Source organism: Homo sapiens, chromosome 18 (genome assembly GCF_000001405.40).
Source record: "Homo sapiens chromosome 18, GRCh38.p14 Primary Assembly".
NCBI lineage: Eukaryota > Metazoa > Chordata > Mammalia > Primates > Hominidae > Homo > Homo sapiens.
In genome coordinates, this window is record NC_000018.10 from 23,551,613 (window position 1) to 23,571,846 (window position 20,234).

General features: G+C 43.5%; 1 protein-coding gene across 10 annotated transcripts in view; it reads right to left on the reverse strand.

Annotated features, from left to right (window-relative positions):
• Window positions 1-20,234, reverse strand: part of NPC1 (NPC intracellular cholesterol transporter 1) — an 80,323-nt gene that overhangs the window by 45,429 nt on the left and 14,660 nt on the right. For 5 of the 10 annotated variants that reach the window (XM_005258279.3, XM_017025787.2, XM_047437539.1 and 2 more), the window contains exons 4-10: window positions 17,211-17,386; window positions 9,748-9,915; window positions 8,619-8,868; window positions 5,505-5,578; window positions 4,631-5,001; window positions 3,146-3,372; window positions 15-115 (exon numbers count right to left, since the gene is read on the reverse strand). In XM_005258279.3, coding sequence (XP_005258336.1) covers window positions 15-115; window positions 3,146-3,372; window positions 4,631-5,001; window positions 5,505-5,578; window positions 8,619-8,868; window positions 9,748-9,915; window positions 17,211-17,386 — 1,367 coding nt within the window. Of the gene's footprint in view, window positions 1-14; window positions 116-3,145; window positions 3,373-4,630; window positions 5,053-5,504; window positions 5,579-8,618; window positions 8,869-9,747; window positions 9,916-17,210; window positions 17,387-20,234 lie in introns of all 10 variants that reach the window. The other 5 variants (XM_005258277.1, XM_006722479.4, XM_017025785.1 and 2 more) reach the window with 1 other exon arrangement.

The following is a 20,234-nucleotide window of genomic DNA, read 5'->3' on the forward strand; positions in this document are numbered from 1 at the left end:
CTTCTCTTACTTACCATCATAGCCTCCCAACACAAGCCACGGGAACACTGGTCCACCAAACGTACCCAGACAAGGGTCATGGAGCAAACTTGTATCATTCAGAGAGGCAGGAGCCCTGCCAAAAAGTTTAGAAAACACCTCCCAGTTAGAAGGGCCTCAAGACATCAGGGACCTAAACATTTACACAGTGAACATTTGATGAGGCTGGCTGTATTCTAAGGACAACATGGGCCCTGAGGTTTCTCAGTTGAGTAATACAGCTCAGCACTCACCTTTGGGAGCTCAGAATCACTGGGCAAGAGGCAGGCAAATACAGCCCAGTGCCATCAATGGCACATGGTGCATGGCGCTATGCAGGCACAGAGGAGGGAGCAAACACTAAAAGGCAAAATTATAGCCAAGAGGAAGAGACTGTACAGACCCAGAGCTCCGAGGATGAGGGGGATTTCACCAAAGAGGGAGGACAAAAGGGTGTCTCACACAATTACAACTGTGGGAGGAAAAAGGGAGGGAGAGAGAACAGTGAGAGGGAATGAGAGCAAGATGGTGGTTTGGCAAGTCCTGTATGCCGGGTATGGTGGCACGCCTAATCTCAAGTACTCAGGAAGCTGAGGCAGAAGGATGGCTATAACCCAGGAGTTTGAGTCCAGCCTGGACAACATAGCAAGATCCCATCTCTAAAAAAAAAATAATAATAATTCAAAGAAAAGATGTCCTGTCCTAGAGCATGGGGTGCCCACCAAGGGGGCTCCTGAAGGAGGGGGCCAGTCTGGGAAGAGTAATGGACAGACAAATGCAAAATAAAAGGACTCAGTGCCAGTTAAGTAGTTTGGATTTTTATTCTGGAGGCACTGGGGAACAATTAGAGATTTCCGGGAAAGAAATGTCATGAGCTGTTTTACAAAGATAGCTTGCGTGGCAAAGTGGAAGGTCTGGAAACGGCAAAGAAACAGGAAGCAGGTGGAACAGTAAGTGGAGATGTTAGCGCAATGGCGCAGGCAAGAGGCAACTGGCAGTGCAGTGCAGACAGACAGTTGGCCAGTGGAGAGTGAACCAGCATTTTCGGACAGACCATCAGCTACAACTTGGCCAGGTGCTGAGAAGCTTCTGCATATGACCCACCCGTCAGAGTGGATGGGTGACGGCATGAGGGAGGTCAGGTGACCTGCAGCGAGCAGCTGAGTCCCTTCATCCACAGCAGAAATCTGAGAGAGCATCCAGAGGCTCAGACCCGTAAGAACCCCATGAGGAAGGCGAGGGCGAGGCAGAATTCAGGGATAAAGCCTCAAGCCTGAGTAACTGGTAGCTGTCACTGCCTTTAAACAAAATGGGGAGAAGAAGCAGGTAAGGGCATGGTTCTGGGCAGGCCACCTGCCATTACTGCAGGACCCTCAGGTGAAAAAGTCCAGGAAAAGCTGGAGGGAGAGGAAAGGGGACAGCGCTAGGGCGAGACTGGGGTTATGAGGACGCGCACAAGCATAACTACAAACCAATTCAGGTCCCTGCCACCAGGAGCCTGCCACTCCCTGTACCGCTTCCACACTGGTGGGAACCACGTCCGCTTTGAGGAAACACAAGGCTCACGCACCTCTGTCCCCCATCATTTTTGTTGACTTTTATCTTGTGCCACAGAGAGTAAACTATAAAATTTATGTAACATTAAATGGTTGTCCAATTATAAAAATTATGTAACATTAAATGTTTTTTGTTTCTTCAAATTACCCATGGCTCGTCTGCACCGTCTACCCTGTGGAGAATGCCGGTTTAGGGTATGGAGCATAAGCTATTGTGTTTTCATGAGTATAACTCATGTTTTTAGGGGTGATATTCTTGAAACAGAGTAAATATAGCCCAACTGCATAAAAAGTCTTACTCCAGTAACAAACAAACAGAACTCAAGGTCAAAGTTCTTTAGAACCAGAAGTGAGAGTCCTTAGCTCTTGAGAAGTAGTCGGCTGAGCAGTGTCCTTAAAGGCAAAAAGGAATAATTTCTCTGTTCCCATGCTGAAGAAATAGCCACTGTGGTTGCTCAACTGGCTGAACAAATGTCCCTAGGCCAGGTCCCTAGCATTCAGGGAGAGTAGGCCCATCCGGCATCATGCTACTCTTCCCCTACTGGGAGAAGCCTTAAGATTCCCCTACAGGTCACCAAAGCACCGCTTCCTGGGGTGACTATTCCCAATTATAAACGCACCCTGCCCAGCTAGACATGCCTCCTAAGGGAAGCAGCTGCAGGGCCCTCCAATCTAAAGCTGCGGAGCTGCAGACCTATACTGCCTCAACTCCTCAGAGGGAGGCTGCCTCCCAAATAGCTGGGGCACTACAGGGGACTGGGCTATATATCTGAGACAGAACAAAAGGCACCAAAGGCTCTTCTATCTTTAAATCTTGTGGGGGGTGTGATACATGACACTGTGTTAGCGACCCAGGCACGAGGTAAAGGGTGAGAGGCAGCTGCACTCCTCAATCACACACCACGAGAGCTTCCTGCCAGGGCTCTGCACTTGCTGCTGGTTCTGCCGGGAACTCTCATCCCTGTGATGTGCCCAGCTGTCCTTTCCTCTCCCTTTGTGCACATCTCCACGCTTAAGCAATGCACCCCCCACTCTGTCCAGCCTTATTTTTCTCCTCATAGCACTAATCTCTAGCTGGCACGATAGCACATGTTATGTGTTCATCAACCGTCTCCCTCCATTAAGATGTAAGCTTCCAGCTGGGCATGGAAGCTCACGCCTGTAATCCCAGCACTTTGGGAGGCCGAGGTGGGCGGATCGCCTGAGGTCAGGAGATTGAGACCAGCCTGGCCAACATGGCGAAACCCCATCTCTACTGAAAATACAAAAATTAGCTGGGCGTGGTGGCACACACCTGTAGTCCTAGCTACTCAGGAGGCTGAGGTATGAGAATCGCTTGAACTTGGGAGCCGGAGGTTACAGTGAGCCAAGATTGCGCCACTGCACTCCAGCCTGGGCGACAGAGCGAGACCCTGTCTCAAAAAAAAAAAAAAAAGATGATGTAAACTTCACAGGGCAAGGTCTTGTTGTTTGCTCACCTCTGGGTTATGCTCATAAAACAAGCTTTTGCCCATGTACCCTAAGTCAGACCCAAGAATGGTGTCTACCAATGATTGTCTCTTGCCACTTACCGTACGCAGTACAGAAAGTGCGTGTGGTAATCGGCATACACAAAGAAGTCGTCCCCTTTCTTGTGGTCCAGCACGGAATGGCTGTTCTGGAAGTAATTTAACACACTCAAAATGGTGCAGTTCGTGTTATACGGTGAAAGAGGGGCCAAGCAGATGTCTTGAAGTGTCACAGTCTCATTGTCATAAGAGGCAGTAATGTTTTCGATGGCTATTTGTAAGTCAAGAACCTGAAAGAAGATTTTAAAAATAAGCAAACCCAGAAACACGTCACATTTCTCTCAGATCTTGATTAATCAGCATTGCCCTGAGGGTCAGAAGACAAAGAGTATTTGGGGAAAATACTTCCTAAGATGAGGGAGAGAATTAAGATGCAATACAGTAAGAAAACTGGTCAGGCCACAGGCCCACTCTAACAGCAAACTAGTTAGAGGCGTCCACAGAGGCGGCGAGGGGTAGGGGGAACACCATGACCAGAACAGCTATCAACATAGGACACACAACCATCTCCCCTCCACCGTTCTCCAGTGGTGGCCAGCAGGCCAGAGGGGAGAGTGGAGGGGGACTCCTGGTCTCCCTGACCCTCCTCTCAATAGTAACACATAACCTCCTGCCTTGCTCTGCACTACAGCCATTTATATATGTCCCCTTATTTCCTAACAGAGAAGATGATCTTGGAGGTAAATGACTATGCTGTTCACCTTCAGCAACAAGCTGGAAAAAGCAACAGACAGTCACTGGGTAGAGAAAAGATTCAAGTCTTGGGACCATTTTAATGCTTTTCAAGATTGCAGACTTTCTTGTAGACATGAGCAATGTTTAAAGGAAAAACCATGTGATTATACATTCATTAAAAAAGAAGCCGGTACAGTTTATGCACAGGTACAGTTCTCCAAGGCAAGTGTGACAGGGACAATGGGAAGGTTTACATGCCTTTCTAGGAGCAATGGGATGGATCTTGCCCCAAATGCGCCTCTCACCAAAAACAGGCTGGGTGCCCATGTTCAGGCAGTGAGTGATAAGTTCATTCCTACAGGTTGGATCAGGGATGGTAATCTGGCAGCTCCTTCCTCAGCCCCCAGGACAGCAGTAAGGGCTTCATGCCTCTGGGTCCTTGCATATTACTTTCAGTTACCAACAGAAAACATTTCACAAATTCCTAAGGTGACTTCCTAATAAATATATCCTGCCTCAATAGAGAAACGCCACTGAAGTCTTCTTTCTCTGCTCATCTCAATTTCAAGAAAAAGGCAAGGTCTACTATCTGAAGTAAATACAAAAGTGAGCAACAATAAATATTCCATTAAGTTCAACATCATTCACTTTCTTGAAACCTAACTTAAAGGCAGCTTTGCCATTATACGCTAAGATTTTCAAGATATACCATGACATTCAGCCCCAAATCCCCATCTAGCAGTAGTCAACATGTAAAAGCCAGCAAACCACAAGGTCATCTAGAGTGACTTATTTCTTCAAACAGCAGGTTACCTGGTGCAGTATCTGTATGTCAAGCGGAGGTCCAAAGGGTACATCAGCTCCCGAAGGGTATGGCTGGTAAATGTGTTTGTCAGTGAGAGGGGCCCGGATGATGAGCTGCTCCGTCCGGAAGAAAGGCCCAAAGTGCTGGTCAAAGTACTCTTTTTCCAGGCGAGCCTGGCTGCTGGGGGCTGACCAGAGGTCAACTGGATTGGTTGTGACCCGGACAAACACCAGGCCTGACGAACACGCAGTAATGAAGACCAGCGAGAAGAAAATGACACAGCCAGGGTTTCGGACGCAGAAAGACCCCCAGCGTGTGAACAGCCGCCTCAAGCAGCCCTCAAATGCTGCGCTGACAGGGTCACAGCAGGACGCCTCTCCTGGAAGAACGGGAGAGGAAGGGAAGGTGGAGGTTAAGAGCCAAGCCGTTCCTGAAAGTCGGAACAGGGAAAGCATTAGTTGCTATCTCATGGCAGGAATCAAGCCCACCTGGGGACACATATGAGACCCCTGCCCTCAGCTACCTATCTGCTCAGCAAAGCCACCTTTGTTGGCTGCCCTCAATGAGCGCTATTCCCACCCCACAGAGGAGATGCCGACACAGGAGCCTCTGAAGGGTGAGGTTCAACCCTGCCCTGCTATTCCCACTCTTGTCCTGCTGCTTTCGCGCCTCCCCAGCTATGATTAATTACTTGGTTCTGCTGTGCCACCCTGACTAGATGGTAGGGCCACAAAGGCAAGGACCATGTCTGCCTTGGTCGCAGCCGTGTCCTCGGCACTGGCACACCACCTCACCCACTGCTGCAACCCCACTGAGGAAACGAATGCTCTCATGACAGACAGCATCATCTGAACCCTTTTATTCATGGACAAATATGCCTACCTTTGTCACTTGCATTAACAGAAAAAGCTATATTGCTATCGATGGGAGTGTACTCGGAGACAAAATACCGTTTTCTGAAAAACAGAAGTGAAGAAATAGCATTAGTGGACTTCATCACAGTGAGGTTGTTTTTGGGACATTCCTGTAATCCCATGAAATGCTTTCTTCCTCCTCCTGGCCTCCTCCTCCCTAATTACTGCCTTCTTTCCCCTAAGTCCCCTTGCTCTGGGTCCCTCTGCTCACCAGTCTCAGGAGAAAATTTAAGAAGATGTTAAGAGAACAATTAATAAAGGATAATTTCACCTTGTGGCCCTCATTTTATTTAAAACTTTTAGGTCCTTTAAAAACACACTACTGGGCTAGGCGCGGTGGCTCACGCCTGTAAACCCAGCACTTTGGGAGGCCAAGGTGGGCGGGATCACGAGGTCAAGAGATCGAGACCAACCTGGCCAACATGGTGAAACCCTGTCTCTACTAAAAATACAAAAAGGTTAGCTGGGTGTGGTGGCACGTGCCTTGGGAGGCTGAGGCAGGAGAACTGCTTGAACCAGGGAGGCGGTGGTTGCAGTGAGCTGAGATCGCGCCACTGCATTCCAGCCTGGTGACAGAGCAAGACTCCATCTCAAAAAAACAAACAAACAAACAAAAACATGCTACTCTTTCCAGCAGCAATGAGCATACCTAGTGCCCAGATCTTCGTTTCTACATACCATTCTCCAATAAAAGGAACCAGAGCTCCTTGCAGGGCAGGGACAGGGAATATGTAAGATAAAGCTGGGGATGGGAGGTGTATGTAAGAACACAGAAGCCAGCCAGAAGGCACTCCCAATGGCCCAAAGTGGAAAACTTTGAGTAACAAGATAAATGACAGTGTTGGATACAACCCACAGAATTAAAAGTCCATGATGTAAATAACTGAGTAAATAAATGAGGGAGAAGGGATAGCTTTCTGTACAGAAGTCCAGTTAGTAAATGCAGAGGAAGAGAGGGAAAGAGAAAAAAATCACTATCAGGCAAACACCTTAGTTATAACTGTTGCAGACAAGACCCAACAATGAATGCTAAAATCAGTGGTTGAGTTTCAGGAGGAACAAAATATTAGTATAGTCTCAAAGCATCTTCCCCCAAGATATTTATCAATTACGAAGGGAAAAGCAGTAACTTCACAGTGGAGATAGCCAGCAGACATCACCTTGAGCAAGTGATCAAGGTTAACATCACCAGGAAAGAGACGCATCAACATCAGGGATCCCTGACATGATGCACCGAGAAAGACATAACATGACTTCTGTGATGTACTTGTCAAAACACCTTATTTCAATCTCATCATGAGAAAATACCAGATAAAGCCAAATGGAAGGACATGCTACAAAATACCTGACCAGTATCATCAAGAGTGTTAAGGCCAGAAAAGGAAAGACTGAGGAACTTTCTGTCACAGATTAGAGGGGACTCATAAAACACAAAAATGTAATATGGGACCTTGAAACAGGGAAGGGCATTAGAGAAAAAGCTGGTGAAATCTGATTAAGATCTCTGGTTTAGCTAATAATAATGTAATAATAATGGCATGGTCGTGGTTTTGATCATTGTACTATGAGTTTTTTTTTTAATTATTATTATACTTTAAGTTTTAGGGTGCATGTGCACAACGTGCAGGTTTGTTACGTATGTGTACGTGTGCCATGTTGATGTGTTGTACCCATTAACTCGTCATTTAGCATTAGGTATATCTCCTAATGCTATCCCTCCCCCAGGCCCCCACCCCACAACAGTCCCCGGTGTGTGACGTTCCCCTTCCTGTGTCCATGTGTTCTCATTGTTCAATTCCCACCTATGAGTGAGAACATGCGGTGTTTGGTTTTTTGTCCTTGCGATATTTTGCTGAGAATGATGGTTTCCAGTTTCATCCAAGTCCCTACAAAGGACATGAACTCATCATTTTTTATGGCTGCAGAGTATTCCATGGTGTGTATGTGCCACATTTTCTTAATCCAGTCTATCGTTGTTGGACATTTAGGTTGGTTCCAAGTCTTTGCTATTGTGAATAGTGCCGCTATAAACATACGTGTGCATGTGTCTTTATAGCAGCATGATTTATAATCCTTTGGGTATATACCCAGTAATGGGATGGCTGGGTCAAATGGTATTTCTAGTTCTAGATGTACTATGAGTTATGTAAGTTGTATCATCGGGGAAACTGGGTTAAGGATACACATAAATTCTACCATTTTGCAACTTTTTGGTTAAGTCTACAATTATTTCAAAATAAAAAGTAAAAAAAGTACTGTCCTAAATTAAGATGCAAATATCTAAAAGGACTATAGTACTCCATTTAATTAGATTTGAATCTGATTTCGCTCATTTGACTCTGACTTTTTTTTTTTTTTTTTTTTTTTTGGTGAGACACAGTCTCGCACTGTCGCCAGGGCTGTTTGCAATGGACTCCTGACCTCATGATTCTCCTGCCTTGGCCTCCTAAAGTGCTGGGATTACAGGTGTGAGCCACTGAGCCTGGCCTTGACTCTGACTTTCTAAAGAATGAGTGGCCGGCTGGGCACGGTGGCTTACTCCTGTAATCCCAGCACTCTGGGAGGCCAAGGCGGGCAGATCACCTGAGGTCAGGAGTTGGAGATCAGCCTGGCCAACACGGTGAAACCCCGTCTCTACTAAAAATACAAAAATTAGTCAGGCATGCAGGCATGGTGGCGGATGCCTGTAATCCCAGCTACTCAGGAGGCTGATGCAGGGGAATTGCTTAAACCTGGGAGGTGGAGGTTGCAGTGAGCTGAGATCACACCACTGCACTTCAGCCTGGGCGACAAGAGTGAGACTCAGTCTCCAAAAAAAAAAAGAATCAGTGGCTAATGCACAGTGCTTTAAATCACACATCATTTTGAATAAATCAGTAAAATTCATTTCAGATGTTGCAGTGTTAAACAGAACTTTGATGGTTTACTATAGAATAGCTGTAGGACACAATAATCCATGCAATGGTATTCATGGAGGTATTTGTTTCTTGTCCTAAGTAACCAAGCTCTGACAAATGAAAGCTCAAAGTGCCAGTGGGCAATTTTGCTCTTTTTGCCCTGGATGACAAACAAAACTGCTTACCTGTAGCACCACACTGCAAAAAATGCTCCAAAAAACACAAGCAAAAACGCCATGTAGGTGATCCACATGATGACATACATGGCGTCCAAGCCAAGGATCGTCCAGGGAGCAGGAGGAGGTGGGGGCTGGGGCTTGGGGCCACAGACAATAGAGCAGTCTTGGCAGCTACATGGTGCTGTGACCTCATCCACAGACTCGTCACAGCCTTTGGTGGCATTGTTCATGGGCTCCATCCCATGGACTGGAAAATCTACAGAAAGGAATTGTGTTGAGTACAAATCTCAATTAAAAACATCCAAAATTTTGTATTATACTTAAACTCAAAGAAAAGCCCACTGAAATACATAAAACAACTGAAAGAAGAAAAAGAATTGGAGGTTTTAGTTTAATTAAATTATGTTTTGCTGCTTCGTCCTATGGAATTTTAAGTTACCTCAATAAACTTGCGCGTAGGGGTTTGTCACTGATAGAGGAATCCTCCAAGTACACCACATACCAAGGCAACCCTTCAATCATGTCCCATCTCCATTCTCAGGAGCTAATACTATAGCAGAGCTCTAGAAAAGCTGCCTCCCACCCCCTTTTTAACTGCTTATTCTTTCAATTATGACAGCAATGCCTGAAGGCAATTCATTTCCTCCTCCATTCCCACTCCCAGCACCCCCTAAATTAGCCACAGCAGGATAAATGTACCAGTTACCTCTCTTACTGGGAGAAACTATGAACTAGTTACCTGAATGTGTTTATCTTCCTATTGTAGATTATGCTTCCTCAACTAAGATTCATTCATTCATTCATGGAGAGACAGGGCTTTGCCCTCACCAAGGTTGGAGTACAATGGGATGATCGTAACTCACTGCAGCCTTGAACTCCTGGACCCACGCAATCCTCCTGCCTCAGCCTCCCAAGTAGCTGGGACTACAGATGCATGCCACCACACCTGGCTAATGTTTAATTCTTTCATAGAGATGGGGCCTCACTACATTGCCCAGGCTGGTCTGGAACTCCTGGTCTTAAGCAATTCTCTTGCCTCAGTCTCCCCAAGCACTGGTGAGCCACTGTGCCCAGCCAGTTCCTTGGCTTTAAAACAATATCATAAACACACCAAACTTGGAATCTTTATACCTACCTGAAAACACAGGAGTGATGGTAAAAGGTGCCTGTCCATTGTCCTTATTGAACATGTATTCAATCCAGTTGGTGGCATTACAGGCGTCAGCGTCCTTCCCACACAGGAGTCCCAGGGCCTTGTCATTACTTGAGGGGGCCTCCACATCCCGGCAGGCATTGTACATTGCTAGAAGAGGAAACCCAAAGGAAAAAGGAGACAAGATGCTTGCTGTAATTCACGAGGCAAGATCTTACAAAAGGCCTCTTGAAGGGAAACACGAACTCCATATGCACCATGCTGGAATGCTGGACAGCAAACACTAACTAAGGGCACGAACAGAGATTCCCTTTAAATTGGCTTATCACCCTGCAAATAATATGGAGGCCCGATTCCAAGTAACTTAAAAGTAAAAAACAGACAGGAAAGGGAAAGGCACACGTTATCTCATAGCTCTCACAACAGCTTGGAGAAGTCAAATCCCCACTATATAGAAGAGTATACCAAGGCCCAGGAAGACGCAGCTAAGAGCCTCAGTACTTCTTCAGTTAACAAAGCTGGTTCCAGAAAACCTCTGCCGCAGGAAGCTACACAGCCAGAGAATTATGGAACTTACTTGGAAAACTGGTTTTAGAGCAGAGGTCACGTGTCAATAAACCTAATACTGTTGGCCGGGCACGGTGGCTCACACCTGTAATTCCAGCACTCTGGGAGGCCGAGGTGGGCGGACCACCAGGTCAGGAGATGGAGACCAACCTGGCTAACACAGTGAAACCCCATCTCTACTGAAAATACAAAAAATTAGCCGGGCGTGGTGGCGGACGCCTGTAGTCCCAGCTACTCGGGAGGCTGAGGCGGGAGAATGGCATGAACCCGGGAGGCAGAGCTTGAAGTGAGCCAAGATTGCGCCACTGCACTCCAGCGTGGGTGACAGAGCAAGACTCCATCACAAAAAAACAAAAAAAAAAAACAAAAAAAACCCCTAATACTGTTATCTTTTTGGATTTTATTTTCTTACACATACACACAACACATTATATAAGGATAGTATCAGTGTATTACACCTAAGAAAATAGCTGGAATGGGTCCTGTACTGTCGATTCTCATTTACCAGTCTCTGCTTGCTAGAAACTTCCCAGGATCTTCTTTCCCTAATCTTCAAGGAGATGCTTACACATTCATTTTGTTTTACCCTTGTTCTGGAAAGACAGGTTAACTAGGGTGACAGTCATCTCCCTCAGAATTCTCAACAGATTATTCCATTGCCTTCCAGGCTCTATCATGGCTGGTAAGAAAATCTCCAATTATCATTGTCTTAAGGTGATTTGTGTCTTGTCTCTATTTGCTTTTAAGATATTTGTCTTTGGGCCAGGGGTGGTTATGCACACCTTTAATCCCAGTAATTTGGGAGGCCCTGGTGGGTGGACTGCCAGAGCTCAGGAGGTCCAGACCAGCCTGGGCAATATGGCAAAACCCCGTCTCTACAAAAAATAAAAAAATAAAAAAAAATTAGCCAGGTGTGGTGGCGCTATATAATTTACAATATAATTACATGTAATTTACAATTTACCCCCTTAAACTATATAATTTAATGGAGTTTAGCATATTCATAGATATATGCAACTATCACCATAGTCAATTTTATAACATTTTCATCACCTCAAAAGAAATCCTGTATTCTAGCTATGCACAACTACCTCCCTACTTCCCTAAGCCCTAAGCAACCACTGAACTGTCTCTATTTATCTGACTATTTCAGACAGTTCACATAAATCCAATCATATAATATGTGGTCTTTCATGACCGGCTTCTTTCATTTAGCATAATGTTCTCAAGGTTCATGCATATTGTGGCATGTATCAATACTTCATTTCTTTTTACGGCCGAACAACATTTCATTGCAAGGACATATGTTTTGTTTATCCATATATCAGGTGATAAATATCTGAGTTGTTTCCACAGTTTGGCTATTATCAGTAATGCTGCTAGAAGCATTTGTGTATAAGTTTTTGTGTTGACCTATACTTTCGTCTTGTGAGTGGAACTGATGGGTCATATGGTAGTTCTATGTTTGTTTCAGGAACTGCCAAACTGTTTTCCAAAGTGGGGTCTCACTCTGTCACACAGATTGGAGTGCAGTGGTGTGATCTCAGCTCACTGGCAACCTCTGCCCCTCAGGCTCAAGTGATCCTCCCACTTCAGCCTCTCAAGTAGCTGGGACTACAGATGTGCACCACCATACCCAGCTAAGTTTTTGTAGAGATGGAGTTTCACCATGCTGCCCAGGCTGGTCTCAAACTCCTGAGCTAAGGTGATCCACCTGCCTTGGCCGTCCGAAGTGCTGGATTATAGGCATGAGCCACTGTGCCCAGCTGTTTTTGGTTTTTGGATTTCTTTTTAATAAAGGTTCCTATTTTCCACAGCCTTGTCAACACTTCTTGTTATGTGACTTTGATTCTAGCCATCCTGGTGGGTGTGAAGTGGTATCTCATTGTGGTTTTGATTTGTATTTCCCTGATGACTCATAGTATTGAGCATCTCTCATGTGCTTGTTGGTCATTTGTATATCTTCCTTAGAGAAATGTCTACTCTATTCAGATCTTTTGCCATTTTAAATTGGGTTATTTATTTATCATTGAGTAGTAAGAGTTTTTTTTTTTTTTTTTTGGAGATGGAGTCTCTGTCCCTCAGGCTGGAGTCCAATGGTGTGATCTCAGCTCACTGCAACCTCCACTTCCCAGGCTGAAGCAATTCTCCTGCCTCAGCCTCCTGAGTAGCTGGGATTACAGGCGCACATCACCACACCTGGCTAATTTTTCTATTTTAGTAGAGACAGGGTTTCACCATGTTGGCCAGGCTGGTCTCGAACTCCTGACCTCAGGTGATCCACCCGCCTTGGCCCCCCAAAGTGCTGGGATTACAGGCATGAGCCACAGCGCCCGGCCAAGAGTTCTTTATGTATTCTAGATACAAGTCCCTTATCAAATATACAATTTGCAAATATATTCTTGTCCTTTTTTTTGAGACAGAGTCTCACTCTGTCACCCAGGCTGGAGTGCGAGGTACTTAGTGCAGCCTCCTTAGGCTCAAGCAATCTTCCTGCCTCAGATAACCATGTGGCTGGGACCACAGGTACATGCCACCATGCCTGGCTAATTATTTTTTGTAGACACAGGGTCTCACTTTGTCACCCAGGCTGGTCTTGAACTCCCGGGCTCAAGCAATCCTCCTGCCTCAGCCACCCGAACTGCTGGGATAACAGGTGTGAGTCACTGTGCCCGGCCTTCTTGTCTTTTCTTGATGGCGTCCTCTGAAATACAAACTTTTTTATTTTAATGAAGTCCAATTAATCTTTTCTTCTGTTATTGCTCTTGTTTTTGGTGTCATATTTAAGAATCAAGTGCCAAATATGAGGCCATGCAAATTAATCCCTATGTTTTATTGTTTTATAGTTTTTAGCTCTTACATTTAGGTCTTCGATCCACTTTGAGTTAATTTCTTTAACATATGGTGTGAAGTAGGGCCCAATTTCATTATTATTTATTTATTTTTGCATGTGTGTATCCAGTTATTGCAGCACCATTTGATGAAGAGTATTCTTTTCTCATTGAATGGCCCTGGCACCCTTGTCAAAAATCAGTTGACCATAGATATATTATTTATTCTCAGTTATATTCCATTGATCTATATGTCTATCTTTATTCCAGTACCACTGTCTTGATTTCCATTGCTTAGTTTTGAAACTGAGAAGTGTGAGTCTTCCTATTTTGTTCTTTTTTCAGGGTTGTTTTACTATTCTAAGTCCCTCAAACTTCTATGTGAATTTCAGAATCAGCTTGTCAATTTCCACAAAGAAGTCAGTTGGGATTATAACAGAGATTGCCCTGAATCTATAAAACAATTTGGAGAATACTGATATCTAAACAATATTAAGTCTTTTGATTGATAAACATGGAATGTCTTTCCATTTATTTAGATCCTCGTTAATTTCGCTGAATAATGTTCTTTAGTGTGTTTTTTCTGTTTTTCTTTTTTTGAGATGGAGTCTCGCTCTGTCAGCCAGGCTGGAGTGCAGTGGCACAATTTCAGCTCCTGCAACCACCGCGTCCCAGGTTCAAGTGATTCTCATGCCTCAGCCTCCCAAGTAGCTGGCATTACAAGCGAGCGCCACCACGCCCAGCTAATTTTTATATTTTTAGTAGAGATGGGGTTTCACCATGTTGGCCAGGATGATCTCAATCTCTTGACCTTGTGATCTGCCTGCCTCGGCCTTCCAAAGTGCTTGGATTACAGGTGTGAGCCACTGCACCCGGCTGTTCTTTAAAGTGTTTTGCCTTCTGTTATAGTTACTCCTAAGTATTTCCCATACTAAAGTAAATGGAATTGTTTTATTTTCACTTTGAGATTGTCCATTGCAAGTGTACAGAAATACAACTGATTTTTGTATGCTGAATTTTCTCTAAGTTCTCAGGGTTCATCCCTTATCCACTCTGGAAAATCCTCATTATCCCTTTGATTATTATTGTCTCTCCCCAACTCTCTGGAGCTTCTCATGTTATATGTCATTTCTTTAATGATTTATAGGTCTTTGTATCTGTATGCTGTTTTCTGAGTAATTCCCTCGTATCTTCCAGCTCACCATTTGGTTTTCAGGTTTTATTTTATGTTTCAAGCATACAAAACACATGGAGAATAATACAATTCTCATTTCCTCATTACCCAGTTAACTATCAGTCATACCATTTCACAACATTTGCCTCAACATTAAAAAAATAATGGACTCGGCCAGGTGCAGTGACTCACACCTGTAATCCCAGCACTGTGGGAAGATCTCCTGAGGCCAGGAGTTTGAGGCCAGCCTGGGCAAAAAAGCAAGACCCTATCTCTACAAAAAAAAATTTGTTTTTAATTAGCTAGGTGTGGTAGCATATGCCTGTGGTTCCAACTACCCAGGGGGACTACTTGAACCTAGGAGGTTGAGGCTGCAGTGAGCCATGATTGCATCACTGTATTCCAGCCTGGGTGACAGCATGAGACCTTGACTCTGTTTTGTAGTACTGCACTATTCAGAACAACTGGCTATGGCATAATTTAAAAACTAAATAAAAATAATAATGCACTATAGGCCAGGTGTGGTGGCTCACACCTACAGTCCCAACACTTTGGCAGGCCGAGGCAGGAGGATCACTTAAGGCCAGGAGTTCAAGACCAGCCTCACCAACACAGTGAGGCCCGTCTCTTCCAAAAAATAAAATACTTACACACACACACACACTCTATAGATTCAGTTGAAGCTCCCCAATTACCCCTCCCTGACAGTAGCCCCTTCCCTAAGGTAAACACAATCCTGAATTTGATGTTTATCCTTCCCATGCATGTTTGTGTACTTGTTTTAAGTATGTAGTACTTTTGTTTCAAAATGTCATATAAACATGTAACCACCATTATAGTATCATATAGAGTATTTTCACCACCTAAAAATCTTCTGTGCTCTACTTATGCCTTCCTCTCTCCTAACCCATGGCAATCACTGACTTTTTACTGTCTCCACGGTTTTGCCTTTTGTAGAACGTCATATAGTGGAATCATAGTGAGTAGTCTTTTCAGATTGGCTTTGCTTAGTAATAGGATTTAAGGTTCATCCATGTACTTTCATGGCTTGATAGCACTGAATTTTCATGGCTTTTTAGCACCAAATAATATTCCACTGTGTGGATGTAGCAGTTTATTTACCCATTCACCTACTGAGAGAAATCTTGGTGGCTTACAAGTTTTGGCACTTATGGACAAAGCTGCTACAAATATCCACGTGCAGGTTTTGGGGTAGACACATTTTTAACTCATTTGGGTAAATACCAAGGAGTATGATTAGTTTTGTAAGAAACCGCTAAATTATCTTCCAAGGTGGCTGTACCGTTTTGTACTCCCACCATCAATGAATGAGAGCTCATTGCCAGCATTTGGTGTTGAAAGCGTCTTGAATTTTTGCCATTCTAATAGATGTGTAGTGGTATCTCGTTGTTTTAATTTGTAATTCTCTAATGACATAATGTTGAGCATCTCTTCTCATGTACTTATTTACCACTGTATGCCTTCTTTGGTGAGGTATCTGTTCAGGTTGTTTTGTCCATTTTTCAATTGGGCTGTTTGCTTTCTTATTGAGTTTTAGGAGTTATTTGTATATTTTGAATAACAGTCCTTACTAACATGTCTTTTGCAAATACTTTCTCCCAGTCTGTGTCTTGTCTTCTCGTTCTTGAGGTCTTCAATTTTTCACAATCACAATAGTGTTACAGTGGGTGTTCTTATATGGGTCTCCAGGTTTATATGCATTTAGAGTTTCTCTAAGGCAGGCATCTATAAGTGAAATTTCTGGGAGGAGGGTTAGCTTCAACTTACTACGTACTGCAAAGTTGTTTTTCAAGTAGTTTTGAAACGATTGTACCAAATTATGGTTGTAAGTGGTGGAGTACATTAGTATTCCTATTGCTTCACATTTTCACCCACAGTTGAAATTGACCAACTTTTTAATTTGTGCCAAGCTGATGAGGTGTGAAATGGTAGTTTACTGTTCAAATTTGCATTTCGCTGTCTGCTCTAGATAACAGTTGTTTATATTCATAAATATTTTTCTTATGGTTTCTGCTTTTCCTCTCCTGTCTAGAAATCTTTCCATATTTACTTCTAAAACTTTCCAATTGGGATTTTTAATCTACACAATTGATTTTTTTATTTTCTGTAAAAATTAAAATTAGATAAATATAATCTATTTTCTCATCTCATTTATCAACTAGCCCACCTTTTCTCTCAATGATTTGTAATGACACACGTGTTACACATCCACTTTCCATACATGCAGGCTTCTGTTTCTGGACAAAATGACCTCTCTCCATTCAGTCAGGTTGCCTTGTATGTCACATCTTTTGGATTCCTAAGTGCCTTATTTTTTGTTGCTTTTGTGAATGAGACCTTTTTTCTATGGAATTTTTTTGTTACCTTTTTACTTTGTCATTATAATTAAATGTTGTATGTTGGTCAATGCTGGGGGATCATTTCTGCTATCTGTTAGACCTGCTGACTTTCCTTTATGGTGATCTGATTCTTGCAAGTCATGACCTCTTCTCTGCCAACTATTAACAGTTCTATCTTCTCAGTCTTGCAGTAATTTATGACATTACACAACTCATGTCTGTTAGAGTCAAAGATCCAATGGTTACTGAAGTGTATGGATGCAAACTTGCACATACTAAAATTTTCCATGTGGGAAGTTAAAGTTAGGGGGAGTTAAAGCAAGCGCTTTAAGGAGATTTTTATATTCGTTGCAGTTCAAGTCCTAGGATACAAGCAAAGCAACAACTCTTATTTCCTGGCCAATGGAACTGAAAATTGTGATTTTCCAGAGTTGACAGGACAACTAAAAGGAACAATTTGCTCTGCTGTCCTGATGCCAGCTGTAAAAGAGGAATAATTAAAAGTTTACTTACCATTGGCAAAACTCTGTCCGACGTAGTATTGTAACTCTTTCACATTTGTTTTCGTCTGGTTTGTAACAGGATCAACATAATCTTCAGTAGCTGTAACATTCAAAAACTGACTCTGTCGAGGGCTACATGTCAGCTCACAAAACAGGTTCAGTAGGTTATAAAAACAGGATGGACATCTAAAGGAAAAGTAAATTATATTCTGCATGATCTCACACATAATAGGGCCAGCAAGAACGATTTTAAATAGACAAAGAATATTTTAAACTTACTGTAAAGTGACAAATTACCAAGAGAACATATTAAAAACCAGCAATTCTAAACTTAAAACTTCATGTTAAAATAAAGGCACACCTTTAAAAAATGCCCTAATTACTTTCTGCATTTATTGTGTCCAATTATAATTTCAAAAAGAGAGAGATGCTTCTCTGAATTCTGCACTTTATAATTTAGAGACATACATTCTCTGACCTAGAGTAAAGGGACTTTGGAGCATCAGGAAGACAATTATTATTATTTTTTGAGAAAGGGTCTCACTTTGTCGCCCAGGCTGAGTGCAGTGGTGTGATCACAGCTCACTGTAACCTTGAGCTCCTAGGCTCAAGCAATCCTCCCACCTCAGCCTCCCAAGTAGCTAGGACTACAGGTGCACACCACCACACCTGGCTAATTTTTAAAATGTTTTTGTAGAGATGTGGGTCTGTGTTGCCCAGGATGGTCTCAAACTCCTAAACTCAAGCAACCCTCCTGCCTTGGCCTTCCAAAGTGCTGGGATTATCGACATGAGCGCTGCACCAGCTGACAGTTTTGATTAAGAAGAAAATAAAATAATGAGAATTATGAGAATCTTCATCTTATAACCTATTGAAAGGTTTTCTTTCAAGCCCCGGAAAATCACTAGGCCCTCCTGAAACACAAGGAGAAATCCCCATGGTTTGTAAAGATAGAGAACAGCAATGTTGTTCTCTGGCTGCATGCACTTCAGGAGCACACAACTGCACAAGAACCATAAGCTGCCTGCTATCCTTCAGGTTCAAAGTTTAAGCTCCTAATGTTGACTTGTTACATGATAAAAGAGCTCTCTTTTCCCTTTGGTCCACTGTTACTTGCAAAAGCTGTTTCATTAGACTTGCATTCTTGCAATCAAGATTACTTTAGACTCCGATTCAGTCCCAGTGACCATGTAAGACAAAGAATGAAAAAAGTGTGTCCTGGCCTTCAAGAGTCTCTGTTCTAGTGAAGGAGACAGAGAAGCACAGACTCTCTTTCTTTCAGGAGCCCCACTGCTTTACTGCAACAAAGCCAGAAACCACAATTGTATTATTCTAATAGGAATCACTCTTGGGGTACACAGTTTTCAAACCTTTTCCATGTTACTACATTTAATGCCCACAATCACTAATTTTGACAGCTGTATATTTTTCCAAATATCAGGTTGTTTCTCCTGTTTGCTATTATAAATCAAGCTTTGGTACCTCTGATAATATGGAGAAAGGTTGGCTATCTTTTTATGTTTATGTCCGTATGTCCATAATGCCTCACCTACGGTGGATCCTAAATAAATGTGTTTTGACTGAGTGTACAAGGCTCCAATTTGGTTCCATCAATGTTCACAAGCCTTTCATAGGATATGCTGGCCCAATTACAGCCTCAACTTTTGTTGTTCTGAAAAAACAATTTAGTGGTGGTTTTCCATTCTCTATTGTTAACTTTTGGTAAGAAGCAGAATTTCTTCACTGGAAGCCAACTTGTGCCCTATCACCACCTGCAGTGATATTTGTGCAGAGAAGCATTTTCCCTTTTTAATATTTGCTTCCCAAACATCTTTATCAGTGTGCTGAAGTCTGAAAAATTTAGAAAGATACCACAATCTGCTGTTCTAAAGACCACTACCAGCTTGCTCTTTTGCATATTTGAGAATTGCTGGCTAGGCCTAGAGAAGAACATCTATTACCAAGCCCTTTTTCACTGCTCAGGGTCATAGCCAACAGAACAGATAAAAAACTAAGTTTGACAAAACCAGCCAGCTACAGCAGAACAAAATTTTTAACAGCTCCCCGAGGCCGGCTCTACTGAGGACCTGACTCTATCACAACCCTTCACCAGAGGGAGGGACAAGAATGATGTGCAAAGCAAAGCATGGGGGGAGAGGAAGGACTGCATGATGAGAGTCTCAGGCCAGGCACCTGAGCAGGACCCCTAGGAACCTCTCTTCCCCACAGTGCACAGCTCAAGTTTGAAAGGAGCCTGGCCGCAGTGCAGACACCCTGCAGGGTGAGAACATCGCAGAGGAAACCAAGCATCAACTCTGAATGCAACTGGGAAGTGAACCAAGTCTGGTAATTATTGTTTTTCTCTTTATTTCTGACAAATTGTAAGAGTGCTTTCTTAAAACAAAACAAAAACTGACTTTAAAAAAAAAAAAAAACTGGCTGGGAACTGTGGTTCACACCTATAATCCAGCACTCTGGGAGGCTAAGGTGGGAGGATCATTTGAGACCAGGCCTGGCCAACATAGTGAGACCCTCATCTCTAGAAAAAAATAAAAATTAGGCTAGGTGCAGTGGCTCATGCCTGTAATCCCAGCCTGTAATAACCAGGCTGAGGCGGGTAGATGACTTGAGGTCAGGAGTTTGAGACCAGCCTGGCCAACATGGTGAAACCCCACCTCTACTAAAAATATAAAACTTAGCTAGGTGTGGTGGCATGTGCCTGCAGTCCCAGCTACTGGGGAGGCTGAGGCAGGAGAATCGCTTGAACCCGGGAGGAGGTTGCAGTAAGCTGAGATCATGCCACTGTACTCCAGCCTCGGTGACAGAGCAAGAGTCTGTCTCAAAAAAAAAAAAAAATAAAGAAAAACATAAATAAAATTAGCTAGACATGGTAGTGCATGCCTGTAGTCCTAGCTACTCAGGAGGCTAAGGTAGAACAATCACTGGAGCCTAGGAAGTTTAAGCTGCAGTGAGCTGTGATCACACCACAAACCACTGCACTCTAGCCTGGGCAGCAGAGTGAGACTCTGTCTCT